At 40.1% G+C, this 23,336-nt stretch overlaps 2 protein-coding genes across 3 annotated transcripts in view, besides 3 other annotated features; both read left to right on the plus strand.

Annotated features, from left to right (window-relative positions):
* Nucleotides 1-9,474, plus strand: part of EFCAB7 (EF-hand calcium binding domain 7) — a 61,846-nt gene extending 52,372 nt beyond the window's left edge. The window contains exon 14 of the mRNA XM_011542301.3: nucleotides 7,415-9,474. Coding sequence (XP_011540603.1) covers nucleotides 7,415-7,420 — 6 coding nt within the window. The 3' untranslated portion in view covers nucleotides 7,421-9,474. The remainder of the gene's footprint in view (nucleotides 1-7,414) is intronic.
* Nucleotides 17,502-17,791: an enhancer, noted in NCBI's record as "active region_1127". NCBI's record gives its function as "activates an Ori minimal core promoter by ATAC-STARR-seq in GM12878 lymphoblastoid cells {active_cell/tissue: GM12878}" and the evidence as "EXISTENCE:reporter gene assay evidence [ECO:0000049][PMID:35858748]".
* The window catches only part of PGM1 (phosphoglucomutase 1), a 66,835-nt gene continuing 61,013 nt past the window's right edge, over nucleotides 17,515-23,336 (plus strand). The window contains exon 1 of one of the 2 annotated variants that reach the window (NM_002633.3): nucleotides 17,515-17,838. In NM_002633.3, the coding sequence (NP_002624.2) occupies nucleotides 17,593-17,838 (246 nt within the window). In that variant the 5' untranslated portion in view covers nucleotides 17,515-17,592. Of the gene's footprint in view, nucleotides 17,839-17,912; nucleotides 18,249-23,336 lie in introns of those variants that run through there. The other variant, NM_001172819.2, reaches the window with a different exon arrangement.
* Nucleotides 17,832-18,131: a silencer, noted in NCBI's record as "silent region_951". NCBI's record gives its function as "represses an Ori minimal core promoter by ATAC-STARR-seq in GM12878 lymphoblastoid cells {active_cell/tissue: GM12878}" and the evidence as "EXISTENCE:reporter gene assay evidence [ECO:0000049][PMID:35858748]".
* Nucleotides 18,492-18,551: an enhancer, noted in NCBI's record as "active region_1128". NCBI's record gives its function as "activates an Ori minimal core promoter by ATAC-STARR-seq in GM12878 lymphoblastoid cells {active_cell/tissue: GM12878}" and the evidence as "EXISTENCE:reporter gene assay evidence [ECO:0000049][PMID:35858748]".

Consider the following 23,336-nt stretch of genomic DNA (forward strand, 5'->3'; position numbering starts at 1 on the left):
CTTATTAGAGAACATATTCTAATTTATAATGGGGATACTAAGTCTTCTTCTCCTAATGAGTCTTCATGAGTTTGCAAGTTTAAGAGCATTCAAAGTTAGCCCTGCTATCTTTACGTAGTCTTATAAAGCCTATCTTTGATGCTCAGCCTAGCTTAATTTCTGGGGGAAAAAAGAACTGTAATGATTTGAGGAAAAATAAAGCAAATAGTGGACCTGATTCAGAGGATATAGATGAGATTCATGTGGTGAGGTAATGTGTGAGCCAGGAACTCTAGGAATCATTATTGAAAGTCTGAGGGGTAGGCCTGACACGGTGGCTCACGCCTGTCATCTCAGCACTTGGGAGGCCGAGGCTGGCAGATCACCTGAGGTCAGGAGTTCGAGACCAGCCTGGCCAACATGGTGAAACTCTGTCTCTACTAAAAATATAAAAATTAGCTAGGTGTGCTGGCGGACGCCTGTAATCCCAGCTACTTGGGAGACTGAGGCAGGAGAATCGCTTGAACCCTGGAGGCAGAGGTTTCAGTGAGCTGAGATCGCATCATTGCATTCCAGCCCGGGCGACATGAGTGAGACTGTCTCAAAAACAACAACAACAAAAAAACAAAAAATAACAAAGTACTTTAATAATAAGTACTCTTGTCCAGGTGCAGTGGCTCACGCCTGTAATCCCAGCACTTTGGGAGGCTGAGGTGGGTGGATCACCTGAGGTCAGGAGTTCGAGACCAGCCTGGCCAACCTGGTGAAAGCCCCGTCTCTACTAAAAATAAAATTAAAAAAAAAAAAATTAGCTGGGCGTGGTGGCGGGCATCTGTAATAATCCCAGCTACTCGGGAGGCTGAGGCAGGAGAATCACTTGAACCCGGGAGGCAGAGTTTGCAGTGAGCTGAGATCACCCCACTGCACTCCAGCCTGGGTGACAGAGAGAGACTCTGTCTCAAATAAATAAATAAATAATAATAAGTGCTCTTGGCCGGGTGCTGTGTCTCATGCCTGTAATCCCAGCATTTTGAGAGGCCGAGGCAGGCGGATCACAAAATCAGGAGTTCGAACCAGCCTGGCCAATATGGTGAAACCCCATCTGTACTAAAAATACAAAAATCAGCCAGGTGTGGTGGTGTGCATCTGTAGTTCCAGCTACTTGGGAGGCTAAGGCAGGAGAATCGTTTGAACCCAGGAGGCTGAGGTTGCAGTGAGCTGAGATCTGCCACTGACTCCAGCCTGGGTGACAGAGTAAGACTCAAAAAAAAAAGAGTACTTTTTTTTTTTCACCCAATACATTTCTAAAAATATATATGAATATTTAACAAAAAAGACTTACATATGATAAAGGAGTTGGAGTATGGTTCCATTTCTCAAAAATTAAATATTTTTCAACTTCTTTTAGACACAGTTGATAAATATTCAACATTTAATACATATTCTTAATTGTATTCTTACCTTTCCAATTGAATACAAGAGTAAGCAAGTTAAATTCAAGGCCAGCTTAAGTTCAGTTATCTGATTCAGGCTAATGTCAGCATGTTATGAAAATGAAATCGTTCCAGAATGCCAGTATTGTAAGCTTTCTGGCAATTTCTGATATAGTATGCGGAATTACTAAAAAGTAAATTTCTCTCTGCCTTTTTAAATATCCATTACAAAAGTATCCAGAATTGGCTTTTGAAAAAAAAGTTTTTTCTTAGTAGAGAAGTAAAAATAGGAGTAGACTAGGCTAGGGAATAGTACACAGGGACATCCAATTAGCATGTATCTATTACATATTAATTAGTTAAAATAAATAAGTAGTAGGTGTCATCTCTGTCCTCAGGACAAGAAAGCTAAGGAAATGAGTTACATGTTAACCTGTTAGGGAATAATATTAAATCTTAATAAATGCCAGTCATTAAGCATTAAACTAATGATGTGAATATGGAAACAGAAGAGGAGGGGAAGGCTTGACCAATTTAGAGGATGTAGATGAAAGTAGATGAAAATCTGTTGGAGGACTGAAGGAATGAAGTTTAGTTTGAAGCTAAGTAGTGCTTTGATTTGTTTTTACTCATGTAATATAATGTATTTTAAAATTTAAATAATATAAAAAGAGGACACATTTTAATAACTATTAAAGGAAATGAGGCATAGTCTTTAAAATACTAAGTAGTACTACACTAAAATGTTAGATTAAGTTTGACAGTGTTAGAGCAAGTTTGGACAAGTTGGAAAAATGAATGTGGGCTGGAAGAATCAGGGGAACCTGATTCTGTAACTGAACTTTAAGTGACCTTGAAGAGATAGGAGGGATTTAGAAAGAGGAGAGGAAATGAAAATTTAAGGTATTTTCTAATGTTTTTCACTTTTCCTAGAATGTTATTGTATCTTTGCCTATTAATATCATAAGCAATAGATCAATCATATATAAATTGAGTCCCTAATGTGTGCAAAGTACTGCTTTAATTATTGCTTATATAGAGGTGAACAAGCCAGACATTGCTCCTGCCCTCATTATATATAGTCTGTCAGAGAAGATAGATTGTGAACAAGTATTACAGGCTGTACCTCTAACATACATTTTTTTTTTTTTTTGAGACAGTCTCGCTCTGTCATCCAGGCTGGAGTGCAGTGGCGCAATCTCAGCTCACTGCAAGCTCCGCCTCCCGGGTTAACACTGTTCTCCTGCCTCAGCCTCCCGAGTAGCTGGGACTACAGGCGCCCACCACCACGCCCGGCTAATTTTTTGTACTTTTAGTAGAGATGGGGTTTTACCGTGTTAGCCAGGACGGTCTCGATTTCCTGACCTCGTGATCTGCCCGCCTCGGCCTCCCAAAGTGCTGGGATTACAGGCGTGAGCCACTGCGCCCGGCCTCACAAGCAATAGATCAATCATATATAAATTGAGTCCCTAATGTGTGCAAAGTACTGCTTTAATTATTGCTTATATAGAGGTGAACAAGCCAGACGCTGCTCCTGCCCTCATTATACATAGTCTATCAGAGAAGACAGATTGTGAACAAGTATTACAGTCTGTACCTGTAACATACATTTTTTAAATACCTCATCCTTCATGAAACCTTTAATTTTTTTCTCAGCCCAGAAGAAACTGTTCTACTTCTTGAACTTCTATTTTAAAACGAGTACTTTTTTCCTGTGGGGTTTTTATTTCAGATAAAAAAAAAATCATACAGTAAATTTGACCCTTTTTTGGTGGGTTGGGGGGAAGCTTTCACAGTTCTATTAATGTAACACATGTATAGATTCATATAACCACCACCACAATCAGGATACAGAGCAGTCCCATCACTAAAAAACTCCCTCACGTTATTTCTTATAGTCACATCCCCATGACCTTACCCCTGTGCATACTCCTATCCCCTGGAAACCACTATTCTATTCTCATCACTATAGTTTTGTTTTTGAGAATGTTGTATAAGTGGAATCATGCAGTATGTAACCTTTTGAGACTGAATCCTTTTATTCAGCATAATGCCTTTGACAATCATCCAAATTGTATGTATCAATAGTTCCCTTTATTGCTGAGTAGTATTTTATTATATGATTGTATTACAGTTTATGCATTCATCTGCTGGGTGGTTTCCAGTTTTTGGTAACTATTAATAGAACTGCTATAAAGTTCATCTACAGATTTTTACATGAACATAAGTTTTTATTCCTCTATAGTAGATACCCACAGGTAGTACTGCTGGATCATATGGTAAATATATGTTTGACTTTTTAAGAAACCGCCAAAGTGTTTTCCAGATTGGCTGTACCATTTTGCACTTCCAGCAGCAATGTAGGAGAATTCCAGTTATTCTGCAACCTTATCAGTACTCGGTATTGTCTGCGTTTTTTATTTTAGCCATTATAATAGATGTGCAGTGGTATCTCATTGTGATTTTAGTTTGTATTTCCCTAATGGCTAATGATGTTGAACAACTTTTCATAGGCTTGTCATCTGCATACATAGTATACTTTTTGATGGTGTGCTTCTTCAAGCCTTTTGCCCATTTGAAATTAGGTTATTTGTTTTCTTACTGTTGAGTTTTGAGTTTCATTTTCTTACCATTTGATTCTTTATAAATTCTGGATATGCCTTTTATTGGATATGTTATTTGAAAGTATTTTCTTCTCTTCTGTAGATAGTCTTTTTGTTCTCTTAACTGGATCGTATAGAGAGTGAAAGTTTTACATTTTGATGAAGTCCAATTAATCAGTTTTTCATTTAATGGATTATGCATTTGGTGTCAAGTTAGAAGTCGTTGTCTAACCCCAGGTCACAAAGATTTTTCTTCTGCTTTCTTCTAAAAGTTGTATAGTTTTACTTCATACATTTATATGTGTGATGCATTTTGAGTTAATTTTTGTATGAGTTCTGAGGTTTAGGTTGAGGTCCATTTTTTTTCATATGGATGTCAGTTATTCCAATATCATCGGTTGAAAAGATTATCCTTTCTCCATTAAATTGCTCTTGTACCTTTGTTGAAAAATTCACTGGTCATATAGAACCATATCTTTGCATGAGTCTATTTCTGAACTCTATTCTGTTCCATTGATCGATGTGTCTTTCCCTTCACTAATACTACATTGTCCTGATTACAGTAGCTTCATTGTAAGTCTTATATTCAGGTAACATGATTTCCCCAATGGTACTGTTCTTTTCCAGAATCATCTTAGCTATTTTAGTTTCTTTCCCTTTTCATATAAATTTTAGAACTGGCTTGTTTATATCTACAAAAAATAAATCCTGCTGGGATTTTAACTGGTATTGTGTTAACTGTATTGATCATTTGGGGGGAACTGGCATGTTTATTATGTTGACTCTTCCAATTCATGAACATAGTATTGCTCTCCACTTATGTAGGTTTTATTTCTTTGATCAGCATTTTGTAGTTTTCAGCATACAGCTCCTATATATCCTTTATTAGATTTATACCTAAATATTTTATTTTTATGAGCTGTTTGTATTTTTGTTTTCAGCTGTGCATTGCTAATATGTAACAATATGATTGATTTTTATATGTTGGCTTTATATCCTGAGACCCTTGTTAAACTCATTTATTTGTCCTAGGAAGGTTTTTTTTTATTGTGTTTTATATATCCCTTGGGATTTTCTACTTAGAAAAGCATGTAATCTGCAAATGGGGACAGTTTCATTTCTTTCTTTCCTATCCATATGCCTTTTATGTCTTTTTTCTTGCCTTATTGCATTGGCTAAGACTTCCCATTAAGATATCAAATAAGAACAATGACAGTGGATATCCTTTCCTTGCTCACAATCTTAGTGGGGAAAGCATTCAGTCTTTTACCACTATTTTATGTTAGCTGTGGATGTTTTTGTAGATGCCCTTAATTAGGTTATAGAAGTTACTTCTCTTTAGTTTGCTGAGAGTTTTTATTAAGAATGGATGATGAGCCAGGAGCAGTGGCTTCTGGCTGTGGTCCTAGCTACTCAGGAGGCTCATGCAGGAGGATCACTTGAGCCTGAGCATTCAAGAATCCCGTCTCTTAAAAAAAAAAAAAAAAAAAAAAAGGGTGGATGCTCAATGTTGTCAAATATTTTTTTCTACTTCAATTGATGTGGTTGTATGGTTGGGTTTTCTTCTTTAGACTGTTAATATGGTACCTTATTTTCTGATCTGAAACCTGACTGATTTTCAAATTTGAACCAGCCTTTCATTTCTAGGATAAATTCCACTTAATTGTGATATGTTATTCTTTTTATATATTTTGGATGTCAGTTTGCTAATACAGTTGACCCTTGAACAACATTGGGTTTGAACTTCATGGGTCCACTTATATGTGGATTTTTTCAATAAATAAATTGGAAAATTTTTTGGAGATTTGTGACATTTTGAAAAAACTCACTGCATAGCCTAGAAATAACCAAAAAAGCAAGAAAAAGTTAGGTATGTCATGAATGCATAAAATATATGTAGATAGTGGCCTGTTTTATCATTTACTACATAAAATCTACACATACATAAAATCTATTATAAAAAGTTAAAATTTATCAAAATTTAGGCACATAAACACAGACTACACATGGTGCCATTCATAGTCGAGACAAACGTAAACAAACGTAAATATGCAGTATTAAATCATAACTGTATAAAATTAACTGTAGTACATATTGCAGTATTGTAATAATTTCATAGCTACCTCCTGCTGCTATTGCAGTAAACTCAAGTGTTGTGAGTATCCACTGAAAACACTGCATGCTGTGATGCTAAACTGTGAGAGCAGCTTGTCTCTCCAGTAAATTGCATATCAAAGTAAAGAAATGATCTCATAGTTCTTATGTATTTTTCATTGTATTTAATGGAATATTGTAAACCTTGTCTAACACTATGGGACCCATTCAAAATGCCACTAGTGACATTAGTGATGCCGGAAGTGCTCCTAAGAAGCATAGCAAAGTCATGACATTACAAGAAAAAGTTGAATTGCTTGATATGCATTGTGGATTGAGGTTTGCAGATGTGGTTGCCTGCCATTTCAAGATAAATTAAGAAAACATAAGGACCATTGTAAAAACAGAAAAGGAAATTCATAACACCGTTGCTGCAGCTATGCCAGCAGGCATGAGAACCTTGCCCTTTTTGCAAAATACCTTTTCATCTCATATTGGAAATGCAGCTTTTATGTGGGTACAGGATTGCTATAAGGAAGTCATACCTGTAAATTAACAGGATTTTTAAAAAAGTGAAGTCATTATATGACAAAGCAAAAGGAAGTTTTTTGGGTTTTTTTGAGATGCAGTCTCGCTCTGCCTCCCAGGCTGGAATGCAGTGGTGCCATCTCAGCTCACTGCAACCTCTGCCTTCTGGGTTTAAGCAATTCTGCCTCAGCCTCTCGAGTAGCTGGGACTACGGGTGTATGCCACCATGCCCAGCTAATTTTTGTATTCTTGGTAAAGATGGGGTTTCACCATGTTGGCCAGGCTGGTCTCGAACTTCTGACCTCAGGTAATCCACCCACCTCGGCCTCCCAAAGTGCTGGGATTACAGGCGTGAGCCACCGCACCCAGCCATGCAAAAGGAAGTTTAAGGATATTAAGCTCAAAAGTTTAGTGCCAGCAAAGGATGGTTTGATAATTTTTGAAAGAGGTTTGACTTAAAAAGTGTCAAGATAACAGGAGAAGCAGCTTCTGCCAGCAAAGAAGGATCAGATGAGTTCTCAGATACTATTAAGAAAATCATTGAGGAGGAATGATATCTGCCTGAACAGGTTTTTAATGCAGACTAATGTGCCCTATTCTGGAAAAACATGCCACAGAAGACATTTATTAGTAAGTAAGGGAAGCAAGCACCAGGATTTAAGGCAGGAAGGGATAACAAACTCTACCATTTTATGAATGCAGTCACATTTATGATCAAGATTGCCCTTATCTATAAAGGTGCTAAACTCTCCCCCTTCAATGCCCTACCCTCCGCAGCCTTGAAGGGAAAAGATAAACACCAGCTGCCAGTCTTTTGGTTGTACAACAAGAAGGTCTGGACAATGAGAACCCTTTTTCTAGATTGGTTCCATCAATGCTTTGTCGCTGAAGTCAGGAAGTACTTTGCCAGTAAGCGACCACCTTTTACAGTTTTTTTGATCTGGCACAATGTCCCTGGCCACACGGAACCCCATGATTCAACACTGAAGGTGTCAATGAGGTCTACTTGCTCCCCAAAACAAGGTTCCTAATTCAACCTATAGATTGGAGGTCATGAGGGCCTTTAAGTCTCATTTCACGTGGGAGGTACTCTGTGGAAAGGAATGTCAACGCTATGGATGAGAACCCCCAATAGAGAGAAACCATGATATGAAGCCGAGATGGCCTTTTAGAAAAGAAAACTATATAAAAATAAAAGACTGAAAGATTAAAACAACAATAACAAAAGGACATCATAAAAGTCTATAAAGATAATACCATTGATTATGCTACAGAAAAAGCCATGAAAGTCATCAAACCTGAAACAATAAATTCCTGATGGAGAAAACTGTGTCCAGATGTTGTGCATCATTTCACAGAATTTATGACAGACCTAATCAAAGAAATGAAAGACGTGGATATGGCCAAAAAAAAAAAAAAAAAAAAAGTGGGAGGTGAAAGGTTTTAAGATATGGATCTTGGAGAAATTCAAGACACCACACCAGAGGAGTTAAGACAACAGGAGAGAGTTGAGTGATTCTGAACCAGTGCCAAATGATGTGGAAGAAGACATAGAAGAAGCAGTGCCAGGAAACAAAATGACATGAGACAGTCTGGCATAAGGGTTCTGATTATTCAAGATCACTTTTGACTTCTTTTGCAACATGGAAACTAAAGCAAACAGTGGAAGATGGATTGTACTGTATAGAAACATTTTTAGAGAAATGAGAAAGCAAAAAAGTCAGACAAAAATTACAGTGTAGCCGGGTGTGGTGGCTCATGCCTATATCTCAGCACTTTGGGAGGCTGAGGTGGAAGGATTGCTTGAGGACAGGAGTTCAAGATCAGCCTGGGCAACATGGTAAGACATTGTCTCTACAAAAAATAAAATTAGCTGGGCATGGTGGCACACACCTGTAGTCCCGGCTACTCATGAGGCTGAGGCCAGAGGATCACTTGAGCCCAGGAGTTCGAGGCTGCAGTGAGCTATGATTGCACCACCACAATCCAGCCTGGGCAATGGAGCAAGATCTTGTCTTGAAAAAAGAAAAAAATTACAGTGTATTTCCAAGTTACACCAAGTGTGCCTGCCTCTTCTGCTTCTGCTACTCTTGAGACAGCAAGACCAACTTCTCTTCTTCCACCTTCTATTCAACATGGAGATAATGAGGATGAAGACTTATGATGATCCACTTTCACTTAATGAACAGTAAATATATGTTCTCTTATGGTAACAAATAACATTTTCCTTTCTCTAGCTAACTTTATTGTTTATGTTCCATAAGGCTTCTGGTCAACATAGGCTATTAGTAGTTAAGTTTGGGGGGAGTCAAAAGTTATGGATAGATTTTCCACTTGTGGGGGTGGTTGGCATTCATAACCCCCATATTATTTCAGGGTCAACTGTACATTGTTGAGCATTTTTGTGACTGCATAAAATGGATGTTGGTCTGTAGTTTTCTTAATTGGAAATGTCTTTGTCTTGTTTGGGTATCAGAGTAATTCTGGCCTCATAAGATGAGTTGGGAATGCTTTCTCGTTTTCTGGAAAAGACTGTAAAATTGGTGTTATTTCTTTAAATGTTCACTTGAATTTCTCATTAGAAACATCTAGGCATGAAGATTTATTTTGGAAGAGGTTTTTTTTTTTTTAATACAAATTCAATTTCTTTAACAGCTACAGGATATTCAGTTTACCTATTCTTGGTTGAGTTTTGGTAGTTTGTAGTTTTTGAGCATTTGGTCCATTTTATCTAAGTTGTCAAATTTATGTGCATAGAATTTTTTAAAATTGTCAATGCAGTCTGTAGTGATATCCCTTTTTCATTTCTGATATTAATAAAATGTGTCTTCTCTGTTGGTCTTGCTGGAGGTTTGTCATTTTTATTGATCTTTTCAAAGAAAAGTTTTATTGATTTTATTTAGTTTTATTGATTTTCTCTTTTTTTGTTTTTAATTTTGTTGATTTCTGCTCTTACCTTTATTCATTCCTTCTTTCTGCTTACCCTGGGATTACTTGTTCTTTTCCTAGTTTCTTAAGGTAGAAGCTTAGATTATTAAGATCTTGCTTTTTAATATTAGCTTTAAAAATCAGTACCTTTTTGTAGCTTATACTTCGTATATTTTATTAATTTGTGTACATGTCTAGATTTCCCTATTTTAATGTTCTGGAGTGCAGGGATCTTATTTTGGTTGGCTAATCTGGGACCTAACTGACTATCCTGTACTGTGTGCTTAGTAAAAATTTGATAGGTGGTTTGAAAAGGAACAGATGGGTGAAAGGGAGAGTAAGTGAAGGTATGAATAAAAGTATTTCAAAGAAGGTTTCAAAATTAAGAAAAATAACAGAACCTAAGAATCATATCCAGGGAAGTGATATCAAGGGAAAAAAGAAAAACAGTTCTGTCATGAGGAAAAATTGCTAATACCAGCCAATTCTAAACTAGTTCTGATAGACTGCGTTCAGAATCTCAAGGTGGCATACAGAACACTCCCAGTACACTGCAGCAATTCTACATAGTGAATAAACAAAGAACTATGTTTCCTAGACAATTCAAGGAAAAAAACATTTTTGACCTTAGTTTTTCAGATAATTTAAGCAAGATAATAATTTGGAGATATTTACCTCCGTGATTTTCTTGATTCCTTCCTTCACTCGTGCTACACTTGATATATATTTCTCTGGTGTTTATTGATTGTAGAGCCTTAGGATAGCCTTTTTTTTTTTTTTTCCTTATTCTGTCTCTTGCTGTCACCTGAAATCATGCTTTAGGCCTCCAGAGGATCAAGCCATAAGTTTTGTGGCTCATAGCCCTCCATAAAATTAAAGCATCTGTGTATTAGTCTGTTCTCATGCTGCTATGAAGAAATACCTGAAACTGGGTAAATCATAAAGAAAATAGGTTTAATTGACTCACAGTTCTGCATGGCTGGGGAGGCCTCAGGAAACTTAAAATCATGGCAGAAGGCACCTTTTCACAGGGCGGCAAGAGAGAGAATGAGTGCCCAGCAGAAGGGGGAAGCCCCTTATAAAACCATCAGGTCTTGTGAGAACTCACTCACTATCACAAGAACAGCAGCATGGGGTTAACTGCCCCTATGATTCAATTACCTCCCACCAGGTCCCTCCCATGACATGTGGGGATTATGGGAACTACAAGATGAGATTAGGGTGGGGACACAGCCAAACCATATCAATCTGTATTAGTTTTCTATAAGTGCTGTAACAAATTACCACAAACTTGGTAGCTTAAAACAACAGAAATTTATTTTCTCACAGTTCTGGAGGCCAGAATTTCAAAATCAGTATAACTGGGCCAAAATCAAGGTGACGACAGGGTGGTGCTTCCTTGGAAAGTTTTAAAGGAGACTGCATTTTTTGTCTCATCCAGCTTTTGGTGTCTGCCAGCATTCCTTGGCTCGTGACTACATCACTCCAATCTGCCTCCTTGGCCTTCTCCTCTTTTGCAGTCAAATGTCCCCCTTTCTCTGTCTTCTAAGGACACTTGTAATTGCATTTAGAGCCCTCTTGGACAATCCAGGATAATCTTTCCATCTCAAGATTCTTAATTATATCTGCAAACTCATTTATGCCATATAAGGTAACACTCACAGATTCTGGGGATTAGGAAATGTATAACTTTTAGGAGCCATTATTTAACCTACCACAGCATCTAACAAGGAATCAAGAATACTGATGAAATGGAAAAATGAAGACATTCATTATCTCTTGAAAAATGTCCTTCACAATCTGTATTTTTAAAAATCTTATCTTTTGCCATTTGAAATATTAATATTTGCATATCAAATATTCATATAAATTAATTCAGACTGATATCCTTTATAGAAGATTCCAAAAATGAATTCTAAGGAAAAAGTCCAATTTATCACATATATCAATCCTTTTCACACATAGCCTCATGAATAACCACTTGACACTGAAACATGAATTCAGAAACTATTATTATTTTGGCACAGGAACAAACTTCAGAATCACAGCATGCAGATATCTATTAACTTTTATTCAAGTAAAAGTTTTAAACACCTGAATAACTTATGGATACAAACGGACATCGGTTTCATATTGCTTCCATATGTAGGAACTAGTCATTTCAGCAAATTACAAATAGATCAGGATTTAATAAACTGAATCTGCAGTCAAGAAGAACCTATGATTTAGACTGCATAAATGAACTAAAATGACATTTGCAATATTGTTCAGCATTAATTTGGGTTGATATGGAATTGTCAATTATTTTCCAGTTACAAATAACTGTACATTCTTATAGAAGATTATTTACAACTGACTTACTCTATTAGAGCTCTGTTAACTGAGAGACTAGTCTCTAGTTAGAGACTAGTTTAGGACATTCTAGTCCTAAACTGTAGACATCCTCAATATTCCTCAATATAGATTATTCCACCATTACTTGACACCACCAGACAGGAAGATGAGGATACATAGATATAGAGCTGTTTTGTTTTTAACAATAACATGATACATGCTTTTATTGTATGCCAAATAGGTGCCTGCTAAGGCTTTGTCTATATGTTGTTAATGAATTACTTTTCAATATTTCTCACTTTGATAATTGGTTTCTATATAAGCCATGTAACTAATAACTGTTAAATGTTAATGCCACTATATCACCCACTTCACCATCCAGTATTTTCATTATAAACTCCATACATCTTTTTTATTATAAATTTCACATACATACCATTGATTATTTGTTGCAGTCATCAAAGATTGCTATCCTATAGTAAATACATTTCTTTAAATCATTGCAATTGGAATGCAAATGAAGGATAAATATGATTGTACTTGAGAATAGTAAAATTCATAGAGACAGAATAGTGGTTTTCAGGGGTAGGAGGGAGGAGGGAATGGGGAGTTACTGTTTCATGGGTACAGAGTTTCAGTTTGCGAAGATGAAAATGTTCTGGAGATGGATGGTACAATGGTTGCACAACAATGTGAATGTACTTAGTGCCACTGAATGTACACTTAAAAATCATTAAAATGGTAAATTTCATTACGTATGTCTTGCCACAATGAAAACAAAATGCTTTTGTTTGTTCACTGCTGTTATGATAAAGATCTCAACACCTGACATCCCCTACAAGGCCCAATATGATCAGACCTACCATTCCACCCCGAGGTTTTTATACTCCAGTTACACTAACTGTCTTTTTTCAAGTTATTGATGACACTAGATTCCTTCTTACTTTAAACTTCCCTTAACGTTCTTTCTGGAATGAAATGCTCCTCCTCTCTTTTCACCTGGCCAGGTACTATTACTCATTGTTTTATCCCTCAGCTTACATAGCACTTTCTCCAGGATATTGTCCATGACTCTCTCCAATGATAGATCCTTCTATTTACAATCTAACAGCACCTATACTTCTTTGTTGCACTTATCACAATTATGATTTATTATTCAGTATCTGTCTCCTGCAACATATTGCAAGATCTGTGAGACCAGAGACTATTTTGCTTTTTTTTTTTTTTTGAGACGGAGTCTCGCTCTGTTGCCCAGGCTGGAGTGCAGTGGTGCGATCCTGGCTCACTGCAAGATCCGCCTCCCGGGTTCACGCCATCCTCCTGCCTCAGCCTCCTGAGTAGCTGGGACTACAGGCACCTGCCACGACACCTGGCTAATTTTTTGTATTTTTAGTAGAGATGGGTTTTTACCCTGTTAGCCAGGATGATCTCGATCTCCTGACCTCATGATCCGCCCACCTTGGCCTCCCAAAGTGCTAGGATTATAGGCGTGAGCCACCGCGCCCGGCCGAGACTATTTTGTCTTATTCATCAAACACCTTTCAAAGAGCTGTCATTTAGTACAAGTTCAAAACATATTTATAGAGTTAATGAATCAATACACGAACGAATACATCTAAATGGTAAAGAATAATTCATTAATGAAATAATGAGGGCCGGGTGTGGCGGCTCATGTCTGTAATTGCAGCACTTTGGGAGGCCGAGGAAGGCAGATCACTTGAGGTCAGGAGTTCCAGACCAGCATGGCCAACATGGCGAAACGCCATCTCTACTAAAAATACAAAAATTAGCTGGGCATAGTGGCATGTGCCTGTAATTCCAACTACTTGGGAGGCTGAGACACGAGCATTGCTTGAACCCCAGAGGTGGAGGTGGAAGTGAGCCAAGATCGTGCCACTGCACTCCAGCCTGGGTGATGGAGTGAGACTGTCTCCAAAAAAAAAAAAAAAAAAAAAAAAGTAAGGATTACCACTTAAAAGGTATTTCAAAGAAAAGGAAAATACATAATATGTACTTATCATTTTAAAAATAATACAAATTCCCTATAGAAAACCTGGAAAATCCAGATAAAATATAAAGAAAATAAACATTGCCCTATCTTGCAACTCAGTGGTAATCATTGTTGCATATCTTGGTATATTTCCAATGGCTTCTTTCCCGATTTCAGTGCTACCCACAGGGGAATAAGACTCCTTCTCTTGCTTTTCATAAATACTACAACTTGGAAATCTCTGCAAGTCAATTTTTGAACGTGGGTAGAACCTGTGAATACGATGATACATTACTCCTATGAACACGTTACAAAGGGAGATTATCCAGGTAGGTCTAATCTAAGAAATGGGGACCTCAATCCTACAACTGCAAGGAAATAGATCCTGCCAGCAATCTGAATGCGCTGTGTTAAAATCAGATCAAACTTTAAAAATTTTTAAAAGTTTAGCATGCATACAAAGAACAGTTTACAAACTGGAAGACATCTAACCAAAAGTGGCAAGAAGCCCAGCTCACAGCAGTTACAGTACAGCTTATAAACATTGAGGAAGAAGTATTTTGACCTTCGTTACATTCTTTTTAAGGCGAGTAGAGCTGTTAAGCTGATTTGTCTATAGCTGATTGGTTTAATTTCATTGACTCACACTGTCAAGGACATTTTGTGTTTTGTTTATGTCTAGAGCAAGTGTTTCAGGGAAATAAGGATGACTTAAGTTTTGGCTACCTGGCTATGGGTGGTTGGACTTAAAATATCTAAACTGGAGCCTCTATTTTTATTTATCTTTAACACTTGAAAGAAATTCTTCCCAGAGCCTCCAGATAAGAAGCCAGCTTGGCTCTTGACTTCAAATCAAGGTGTTCTTCCCAGAGGCTCCAGATAAGAACGCACCAAGCTTGGGTGGGTTCTTATCTTGAGGCTCTGGGAAGAATTCAATGAAATTAAACCAACTGGCTATAGACAAATCAGTTTAAACAGGTATGCTTGCCTTAAAAAGAATTTAATGAAGGTCAAAATACTTTCTCCTTGATGTTTATAAGCTGTTATATATCCGTGATTACCAGGATTGAACCTGGCCAAACCTTTTGATCTATAGAATTGGGACTTCTTATCTATAGAATTGTGACATCATAAATGGGTGTTGTTTTCAGCTGTTGAGTTTGTGGTAATTTGTCATACAGCAGTAGAAAAGTACGGGTTGAGTATCCCAAATCCAAAAATCCCAAACCCAAAATGCTCCAAAATCCAAAACTTTTTGAGTGCCAACATGACACTCAAAGGAAGTGCTCATTGGAACATTCTGAATTTGGGATTTTTGGATTTGGGATGCACAACCATTGTAATGCAAACATTCCAAAATCCGGAACAATCTAAAATCTGAAACATTTCTGGTACCAAACATTTCGGATAAGGGATACTCAATCTGTAATACAAGGGGATTGCATAAAGGCATGATTATCAGGAGGCAAGGAACATGGGGATCATGTTAGGTCTGTATAAGGGGCCACAGTAACCCTGTCCAGAACAGCAGAACTGCCAGTTAACTCATAGAATCATGAACTATAATCATGAATGGGGGTTGTCTTAAGCCACTCAGATTTAGACTGGTGTGTTATGCAGTTAAAGCTAATTGTTACAACTTCTGGGGTGAGAGAAGTATAGATCAATTCCTCTTAAATGAAAAGCTCCATCATATTTCCAAAGATACTGAAGAATATAGAAAGGGCATGAGATCTGAATTTGGGCCCGTGACTTTACAAGTTATCATTTATTGATGACTTACTTATTAGCACTGTGGTAGGAGCTGTATATTCTCTATCTAAACCATACAACTCTAAGGTAGGTATTTTGAAGGCTCAGTGAATCTATGCTATATTTTCATTTTGTGGAGTTAGATAACCTTGATTACATTCACCATCCAATCCTCAATTCTCTCGTCTATAAAATGGGCTTGATTATATTATTTAATTCACAAGATTACACTGCTCTGTAAACTCCTGTGCAAATATTAGAACTCATTACTAGCAGTCCAGGGTTCCGTTTTCACATAATATTTGCCACCGAAACTCATCTATAGTGACTACATCAACACACTGTATCTACATAGCATGTACTATATGAGCATGTATATCAACACTTGGTTTGTGAGAGTCTGCACTCTTATGGGTCTGTTCGCCTCCCTGCTTGATCAAGACATACCAATTAACTACCAAAAGAATATAATTCACAGGTGAATGATATGCTCTGGTTTTGGAATTGGGGAAGGGGAGCTAATATTTTTGAAGGCCTCTATGTTTCAGGCACCAGGCTAGATGATTTACTTCTAACAGCTGATTATGATTGAATTTGTTTGGACTGGGTCATTTAGAAACCACCTCAAGTAATTCTACTGTGAGCATGGGTCACAGTAGGATTCTACTGTGTATCCATGACTGAGAATTTCTGACATACAAAACCCCATTAAATCTTGCAAAAATATTCCAAAGTAGGTGATATGTTTATTTTACAGTAAGGAAATTGATGCCCACGGACATTAACTAACTTTCCCAAGAGCACACACCTTGTAAAGCCAAGTTTTTTGCCACTTTACCAAAATGACAGGTTTCTTGAACAGAGGAGACAATCACTCTCATCAAATTAAGGGAGATACTAAACCGAAAAGCAAGAAAGACTGAAGATTCCTACTTAATAATCAAATCCCCTTGGTTGACCTTGCTATCCCCCGTGAAACTTTTCCAGCCATGTCAGTCCTTGTTTGTTGATCTCCTCACTTTATTTCTATTACATGAGTAACTGGCTAATTTTGATGGTGTTCATACTTATCCTTACCATATATTTGCTCCTACATTTGTCAAGTCCTGCTTGTACATTTCCTAGTTGCCAACCTGGTGTCACAGCGGGCAAATCATGGGAAGAGCCCTGGTTTTGGAGCCAGACCACCTGAATTGGCCTCCCGCATGGACTTAGCTGTGTGGCAATGAGACAAGGCATTTTATTCTTTGAATTTCAGTTTTGTAAGCATAAAAAGGGGAAAAATAAAACCCAGAGTTTAGTAAGGTTTAGAAACGCTACACTCAGCAAGTCATAGCTAAGTCACCGTCACCAATGGTAGTCAAGTGTGTGGTGCAGCAGGAAACATTTGGAGTCGACTCCTTTACGGAACTCAAATGCCCTCACATTTAGGGAGAAATAGAAAGAATTACGACTCATGAAATCGAGCTGGGGCTGGCACTTCTGACCCTCCCAACAGGTTTCCAGAAAGCTATTTACACACGATGCATTCGCCAAACCACTGGAAATCATTCTACCCTGTACTTTTTTCCACCCTGCCTCACGTCCTTGCCCTATGACCGGGTTCCTACCCCAACCTCTGCCCCAACACTTAGAGGAGGAGTTGCGGGCCTCTTTTTACAGTGGATAGGATTCCGAAGGGGAGAGTAAATCAGTAAGGCTCCACCCATTTCACAGGAGGCCTAGAGACCGGCGCTCCCCTTTCCCCTCCCGCCGGACCTGCCAGGAGGTGGGCTGGCGCGGAGGGAGGGCCCTGTCCCCTGTCCCTTTAAGGAGGAGGGCCAAACGCCGGCCTAGAGTGCGGCGTAGCCCCCACCCGCCGTGCCCTCACCCCAGAGCAGCTGCAGCCTCAGCCGGCCGCCCCTCCGCCAGCCAAGTCCGCCGCTCTGACCCCCGGCAGCAAGTCGCCACCATGGTGAAGATCGTGACAGTTAAGACCCAGGCGTACCAGGACCAGAAGCCGGGCACGAGCGGGCTGCGGAAGCGGGTGAAGGTGTTCCAGAGCAGCGCCAACTACGCGGAGAACTTCATCCAGAGTATCATCTCCACCGTGGAGCCGGCGCAGCGGCAGGAGGCCACGCTGGTGGTGGGCGGGGACGGCCGGTTCTACATGAAGGAGGCCATCCAGCTCATCGCTCGCATCGCTGCCGCCAACGGGGTAAGGGATGCGCGGCCCCGCGCCGCTGTGCACCCTGGCGCGTGTGCGACGTGCGGCCCGCGGCGCCCTCCCTCGCTCGGGGCCGGCCGCTTCCGCGCGCTGCCGCCTCGGTTTCCACCTCCCGCTCCTCCCTCTCCTTCGCGCTCGCTCTTCTGGCCTGGAGGCCCGACGGAGGTCGCCGGGCTGGGGAAAGTGGCCACGGGACCCGGCAGACCTGCTCGCCTGACTCCCGGGGCGCCGGGAGGTGCGGGCGCGGAGCCTCCCAAGGTCACGCCCGACTCTCCGTCTCTAGCCGCTGCCTTCCCTCTCCCCGTCCCCCGCCCCTCCCGAGGCGTCTGACATTTGCCCTAACCTTGCAGCCTTGGAAGATACGATTACGGCGCAGAGTGCTGTCGCCTTAAGCAGGAAAGGTTAGACTGCCGCCGCCTCGCCCAGAGCCCCCTCGCATCCCGCCCGCTCCTCTGCTATTCTCGGCTAGGACTGGCGCTTCCCGCTGGCTCGGAGCCCGACACTGTGGGGCAAGGGTGGCGAGAGCACCCATCCCCCTGGGGCGTCAGGTTGGCAGATCTCAGCAGGCGGGTGCCAATCTTTTCTCCCCGCCCCCTAGTTTGCCTTGGTTCCGAACTCCTGCCCTTTGCGCGGCCTGCTTGCTGGGGGGCAGGCGTTTGAAACATCTAGTCTCTGCCCAGTGGTGCCCGGGATCTGTTCCACCGACGGGGCTGGAGCTGAATTTTCATTAGAATGGCAACATACCCAAAGACGCCCTTACGCAAGCAAGCAGTCGTGGCAGGCCAGGAAATTACCGCAACACCTTGGTTCCGCCCCCGGCCAAGGAAAGTTAACTGACTTGATTGGGCGGGTCCACTCGGATAGGGGAAATTAAAAAAAAAAAGTTTTTCAGTAAATCTGATATATGGAAATGTGGGGCCGGGCATGGTGGCTCACGCCTGTAATCCCAGCACTTTGGGAGGCTGAGGGTGGTGGATCACCTGAGGTCAGGAGATCGAGACCATTCTGGCTAACACGGTGAAACCACGTCTCTACTAAAAAATACAAAAAAAAAAAAAAAAAAAAAAATTAGCCAGGCGTGGTGGCGGGCGCCTGTAGTCTCAGCTACTCGGGAGGCTGAGGCAGGAGAATGGCGTGAACCCGGGAGGCGGAGCTTGCAGTGAGCTGAGATCCCGCCACTGCACTCTAGCCTCGGCGACAGAGCGAGACTCCGTCTCAAAAAAAAAAAAAAAGAAAAAAAAAGTGGATTGATAAGTTGGGGCTAATTATTCACTTACTTTTGTAAAACATTTCTAAGGAGTTCTGAGGACCAAGTTTTCTTTCTATATTTTAAGTGAGATTTGACTTATGCCCAATTCTTCTGGAACGCATCCCCTGAAATGGATATTTTTATTCATTTTAATAGTACTTTATTTATCTTATTTTGTTGACATTGAGTACTATTTGCCAAGCACTATGGTAAGCGCTTCATTTCTGGGTCTCATTTATCCTCCTGCAGCCCTATAAGGTAGATGCTATTATGGGTATCTTCAAGTTGCCAACGAGGACGCTGAAGCTTAGGTAGGTTAAATAATTTACAAAAACTATAATGGCAGCACTAAGAGTCCAATATAGATCTGCCAATCCCAAGAACTTGAACAGCTCCTGAGAATGAAGAATGAACAGCCCTTGATCTTGAAGATCTGTTTTCCAGGCTCCAAAATCTAAACTGGGCTCTATCTACATCTGCCTTCCTGGGCCAAACATTTATAAGCATCAGTGAGAGAAGATTGCCTGGATTTGTTTACTTTGTGGTCCTGAATTTTCAGACAAGCGCAAATTCCCATGAAAGAAGAACAGACAATAGCTGTATCCCAGTAGATCATTTCCCTGTTACCACCTGTGCTGAATTTGCATTTCATTCATTCATTCATTTATTCAGTCAGTCATTCAACAGATCCTGTTGAATACCATGTTCAGAGAAATGTGTGGACTAAAAGGATGATGCAGACCCAAGAGTTGTCCTTAAGGAGCTTACAGCAGAGTGGGAATTTTAGGTGCCCAGATGGAAATTTGTCCATTTGGGAGTAGTGTGGGGTGGGAAGGAAAGAATTAGTTAAGACTAAAAAAAAAAGTTCTTAAAACTTCATCACCCTTTAGCCATTGCCCTATTGCTCTTCTCTCAGCCAACCTTTGTAAAAGCTTTCTGCATTCACTATTTCTCATTCTCACCTCCGGTTTACTCGCCATTTCACTGCTTCTGCCCCCTCCACTACTCCAGTAGAATTGCTCTTGCCAAAGTTACTAGGGACTTGCCAGTTGCTAAATTCATGGAATACACTCTGGTCTAATCTTATTTGGCCTTTCTGCTGCATTTGGCAGTGCTGATTTTGTACTCTTGTAAAGTTCTTCCTCCCTTGGCCTTGCTTACTCTCCTGATTCTACTCACACTTTTTGGAAGTTCCTTCATGGGCTGCACATTGACTATCCCCTAGGTTTCTTTCTTCTTTCTTTCTTTCTTTTTTCTTCTTCTTTTTTTTTTTTTTTTTTTTTTGAGACGGAGTCTTACTCTGTCGCCTAGGCTGGAGTGCAGTGGCGCAATCAGCTCACTGCAACCTCTGCCTCCCAGGTTCAAGCAATTCGCCTGCCTTAGCCTCCTGAGTAGCTGGGATGACAGGCATGCACCACCACACCTGGCTAATTTTTATATTTTTAGTAGAGATGAGGTTTCACCATCTTGGCCAGGCTGGTCTCGAACTTCTGATCTCAGGTGATCCACCCTCCTCGGCCTCCCAAGGTGCTGGGATTACAGGCGTGAGCCACTGCGCCTGGCCTATTCCCTAGGTTTCTACGCTCAGGTTGTTCTCTGATTTTGTTCACTCTCTCTACTCACTCGGGATTTAAATATGCTACTCTTTCTCTTGTGATATGATTCAGTCCAGATGGCATCTTCAGAAACCTTTCTTGACACCCCATCCCTACCACTCTTCTCCACCTATTAAGTGCTCCTTTCCCATAGATAATTCTAGAATATATATATTAAATTCTAGTGAAATTTTCCGTTTACATGTCAACGGCCTCCAACTAGAGAGTAAGCTTCTTTAAGTCAGACCTGTGTTTTACCTGTATCTGCAATGCCTAGGACTATGTAGCATTCAATGAATTCTTGTTTATTTGCTCTGAACTGTGAGTCACTTTTGTATTCTAGCACTTGATTTAAAGCCAGCATGTAGCTGGTGACCAATAAATTTATTCACATCAAACATTTATTATGTGCTTGCTTTGCCTCAGACATTGTACTTGAGATACAAAATATTTTTGCCCTTGGGAAAGACATAGTCTGGGAGGGGTGGTATACAGGAGTAAGCAGACAGCACAATGTGTCAGGTGTTGTGATGGAGGGATGTGCAGGTGTCTTTAACCTGAGGGGCTGTACTTGGGAGGGGAAGATGAAGGGAGGGAGGCTCCATAGAGGGGTGGTAGCCGAATTGAGTCTTAAAGAATGACTTGGAGTTCCCAGAGTGGGTTTGTCTGGTAGGAGGAATTCTTAGCAGAATGAATACAAATTGAGGGAGTTTAGATTAGATACAAATACAAATTTCTAGTCCTTTTTTGTTTCATCCACAAAGGTTGGGAATAATACATACCTGAAGAGCCTGTTGTGAGGATTAGATGAAACAACATATTTACAAGTACCTCACTTGGAAACTGTTCGAATGATAGGTGTGTTATCAATGTTTTGTTGGTATTAGGACACAATCCAACGTGATGCAGATATGAGCCACCCAGATGGTCTCCCACCTTCCTCTAATCCTCAACAGCCTCAACCAATATAGAGGGGTTCCGTGTTAGTCAGAGCCCAATTGGGTACAAATGACAAAAACCTTACTTGGATTACTCCAAGTGAAAAAGGAATTTTATTGGCCCATGTTACTGAAAAGTCCAAGAGAATCCCAACGAATTCTTTAGTTGAAACTATTCCTGGTCTCTAAAAATCACTTCTGGGTCTAATGATCTGCAAATGACCAGCATCAGAAATTGAGGAGAGTTTAAGCTCACAAATGAATGTGTGCATGTTTTGAAGGATGATTTATCACCACCCTAAGCAAAATAAAATAAATACCTTTGTGGGAACTTATGAGCAAGGAGGGTATTTGTTGTTGTTGTTGTTGTCAAGTTACAGGGATTCTTTTGTCACGGCTCCTTTGCTACTCATTTGTGCAAACTGTGGAGCCCCTTCTCAGAATATATATTTTTAAAAATTTGAGACATGGTCTTACTCTGTTGCCCAGACTGCAGCACAGTAGCGCGATCGTGGCTTACTGCAGCCTCAGTCTCCCCAGGTTCAGTTGATTCTCCCACCTCAGCCTCCTAAGTAGCTGGGGTCTACAGGTGCATGCCACCATGCCTGGCTAATTGTTTTATATTTTTTGTAGAGATGGGGTTTCACCAAGTTGCCCAGGCTGATCTCGAACTCATGGGCTCAAGCGATCTGCCTGCCTCGGCCTTGCCTCCCAAAGTGCTGGGATTACAAGTGTGAGCCATCGTGCCGGGCAGAGTATTTTTATTTTTAAGTGAATAAAACAAAATACAAACCATTACAAAGGAAGCAAAATTATATTGAAGTATAATCAAAATATTAAAAAACCAGATTTGTGATATATCAAGATAATGCTTCTTTACTGACATAGGAAGATTTGTGGAGGATTTAATACTGCCTTACTTCAAAGTAGTGGTGAGTATAAATGATGTTTTGAGACGTCTGCAATCTCAGTATTTTGAGATAACTATAATAGGATATGAAAATATAATTTTTATTGATGATAAATTCCTAGGTAGTAGTAGTAATAGTAGCAGTAGTAGTAATAATACTGTGGTTTGCTTCCTACATTTATAATAAAAGGAGGTGCTAAATTTCAGTTAGATGTTAGTGAAAATAAAGATTGTTTTGTTTATTTTGTCATTCATATTCATGGATCCCATTGAATTCTACCCAAGGACCTCTTGAGGTAGGGGAAGGGGATGTAAGCATCCCAAGTTAAGAACCCCACACTAAACAATGATCCTTTTTTAGCATCAGGTGATGCCTGCACCAAAATGGACCTCAAACACATGACCCAGAGGTTAAGGGTCTCATGTTCTCAGAGCAAACTAGTGGGACTTTGCAAACTTCGCCTTATAGTGGAGGAACTCCACTGTCTCCCGCTTGAAGTGAACCACCCTTTTCTGAACTTTCATGAGATCCATCTGCAAACACTGCTGAAGGAACATGTTTCTGGCTATAGCAGTTCACATTTCTTGAAAAGGAAATAAAAGAACACTGAGCAGGAAGGGGAAGGTTTTGAGACTCTTGGGTAGTTGGAGTTAGGTGGAGACACCTTGCTACTTTAACTTTAAACCTTATATCCCTGGGGCAGGGATGACTTGGCAGAGAAACACCTTCAAGTCACTTTTTTTTTTGAGACACTGTCTTGCTCTGTTGCCCTAGGCTGGAGTGCAGTTGCAGGATC

This window comes from Homo sapiens, chromosome 1, assembly GCF_000001405.40.
Source record: "Homo sapiens chromosome 1, GRCh38.p14 Primary Assembly".
Taxonomy (NCBI): domain Eukaryota; kingdom Metazoa; phylum Chordata; class Mammalia; order Primates; family Hominidae; genus Homo; species Homo sapiens.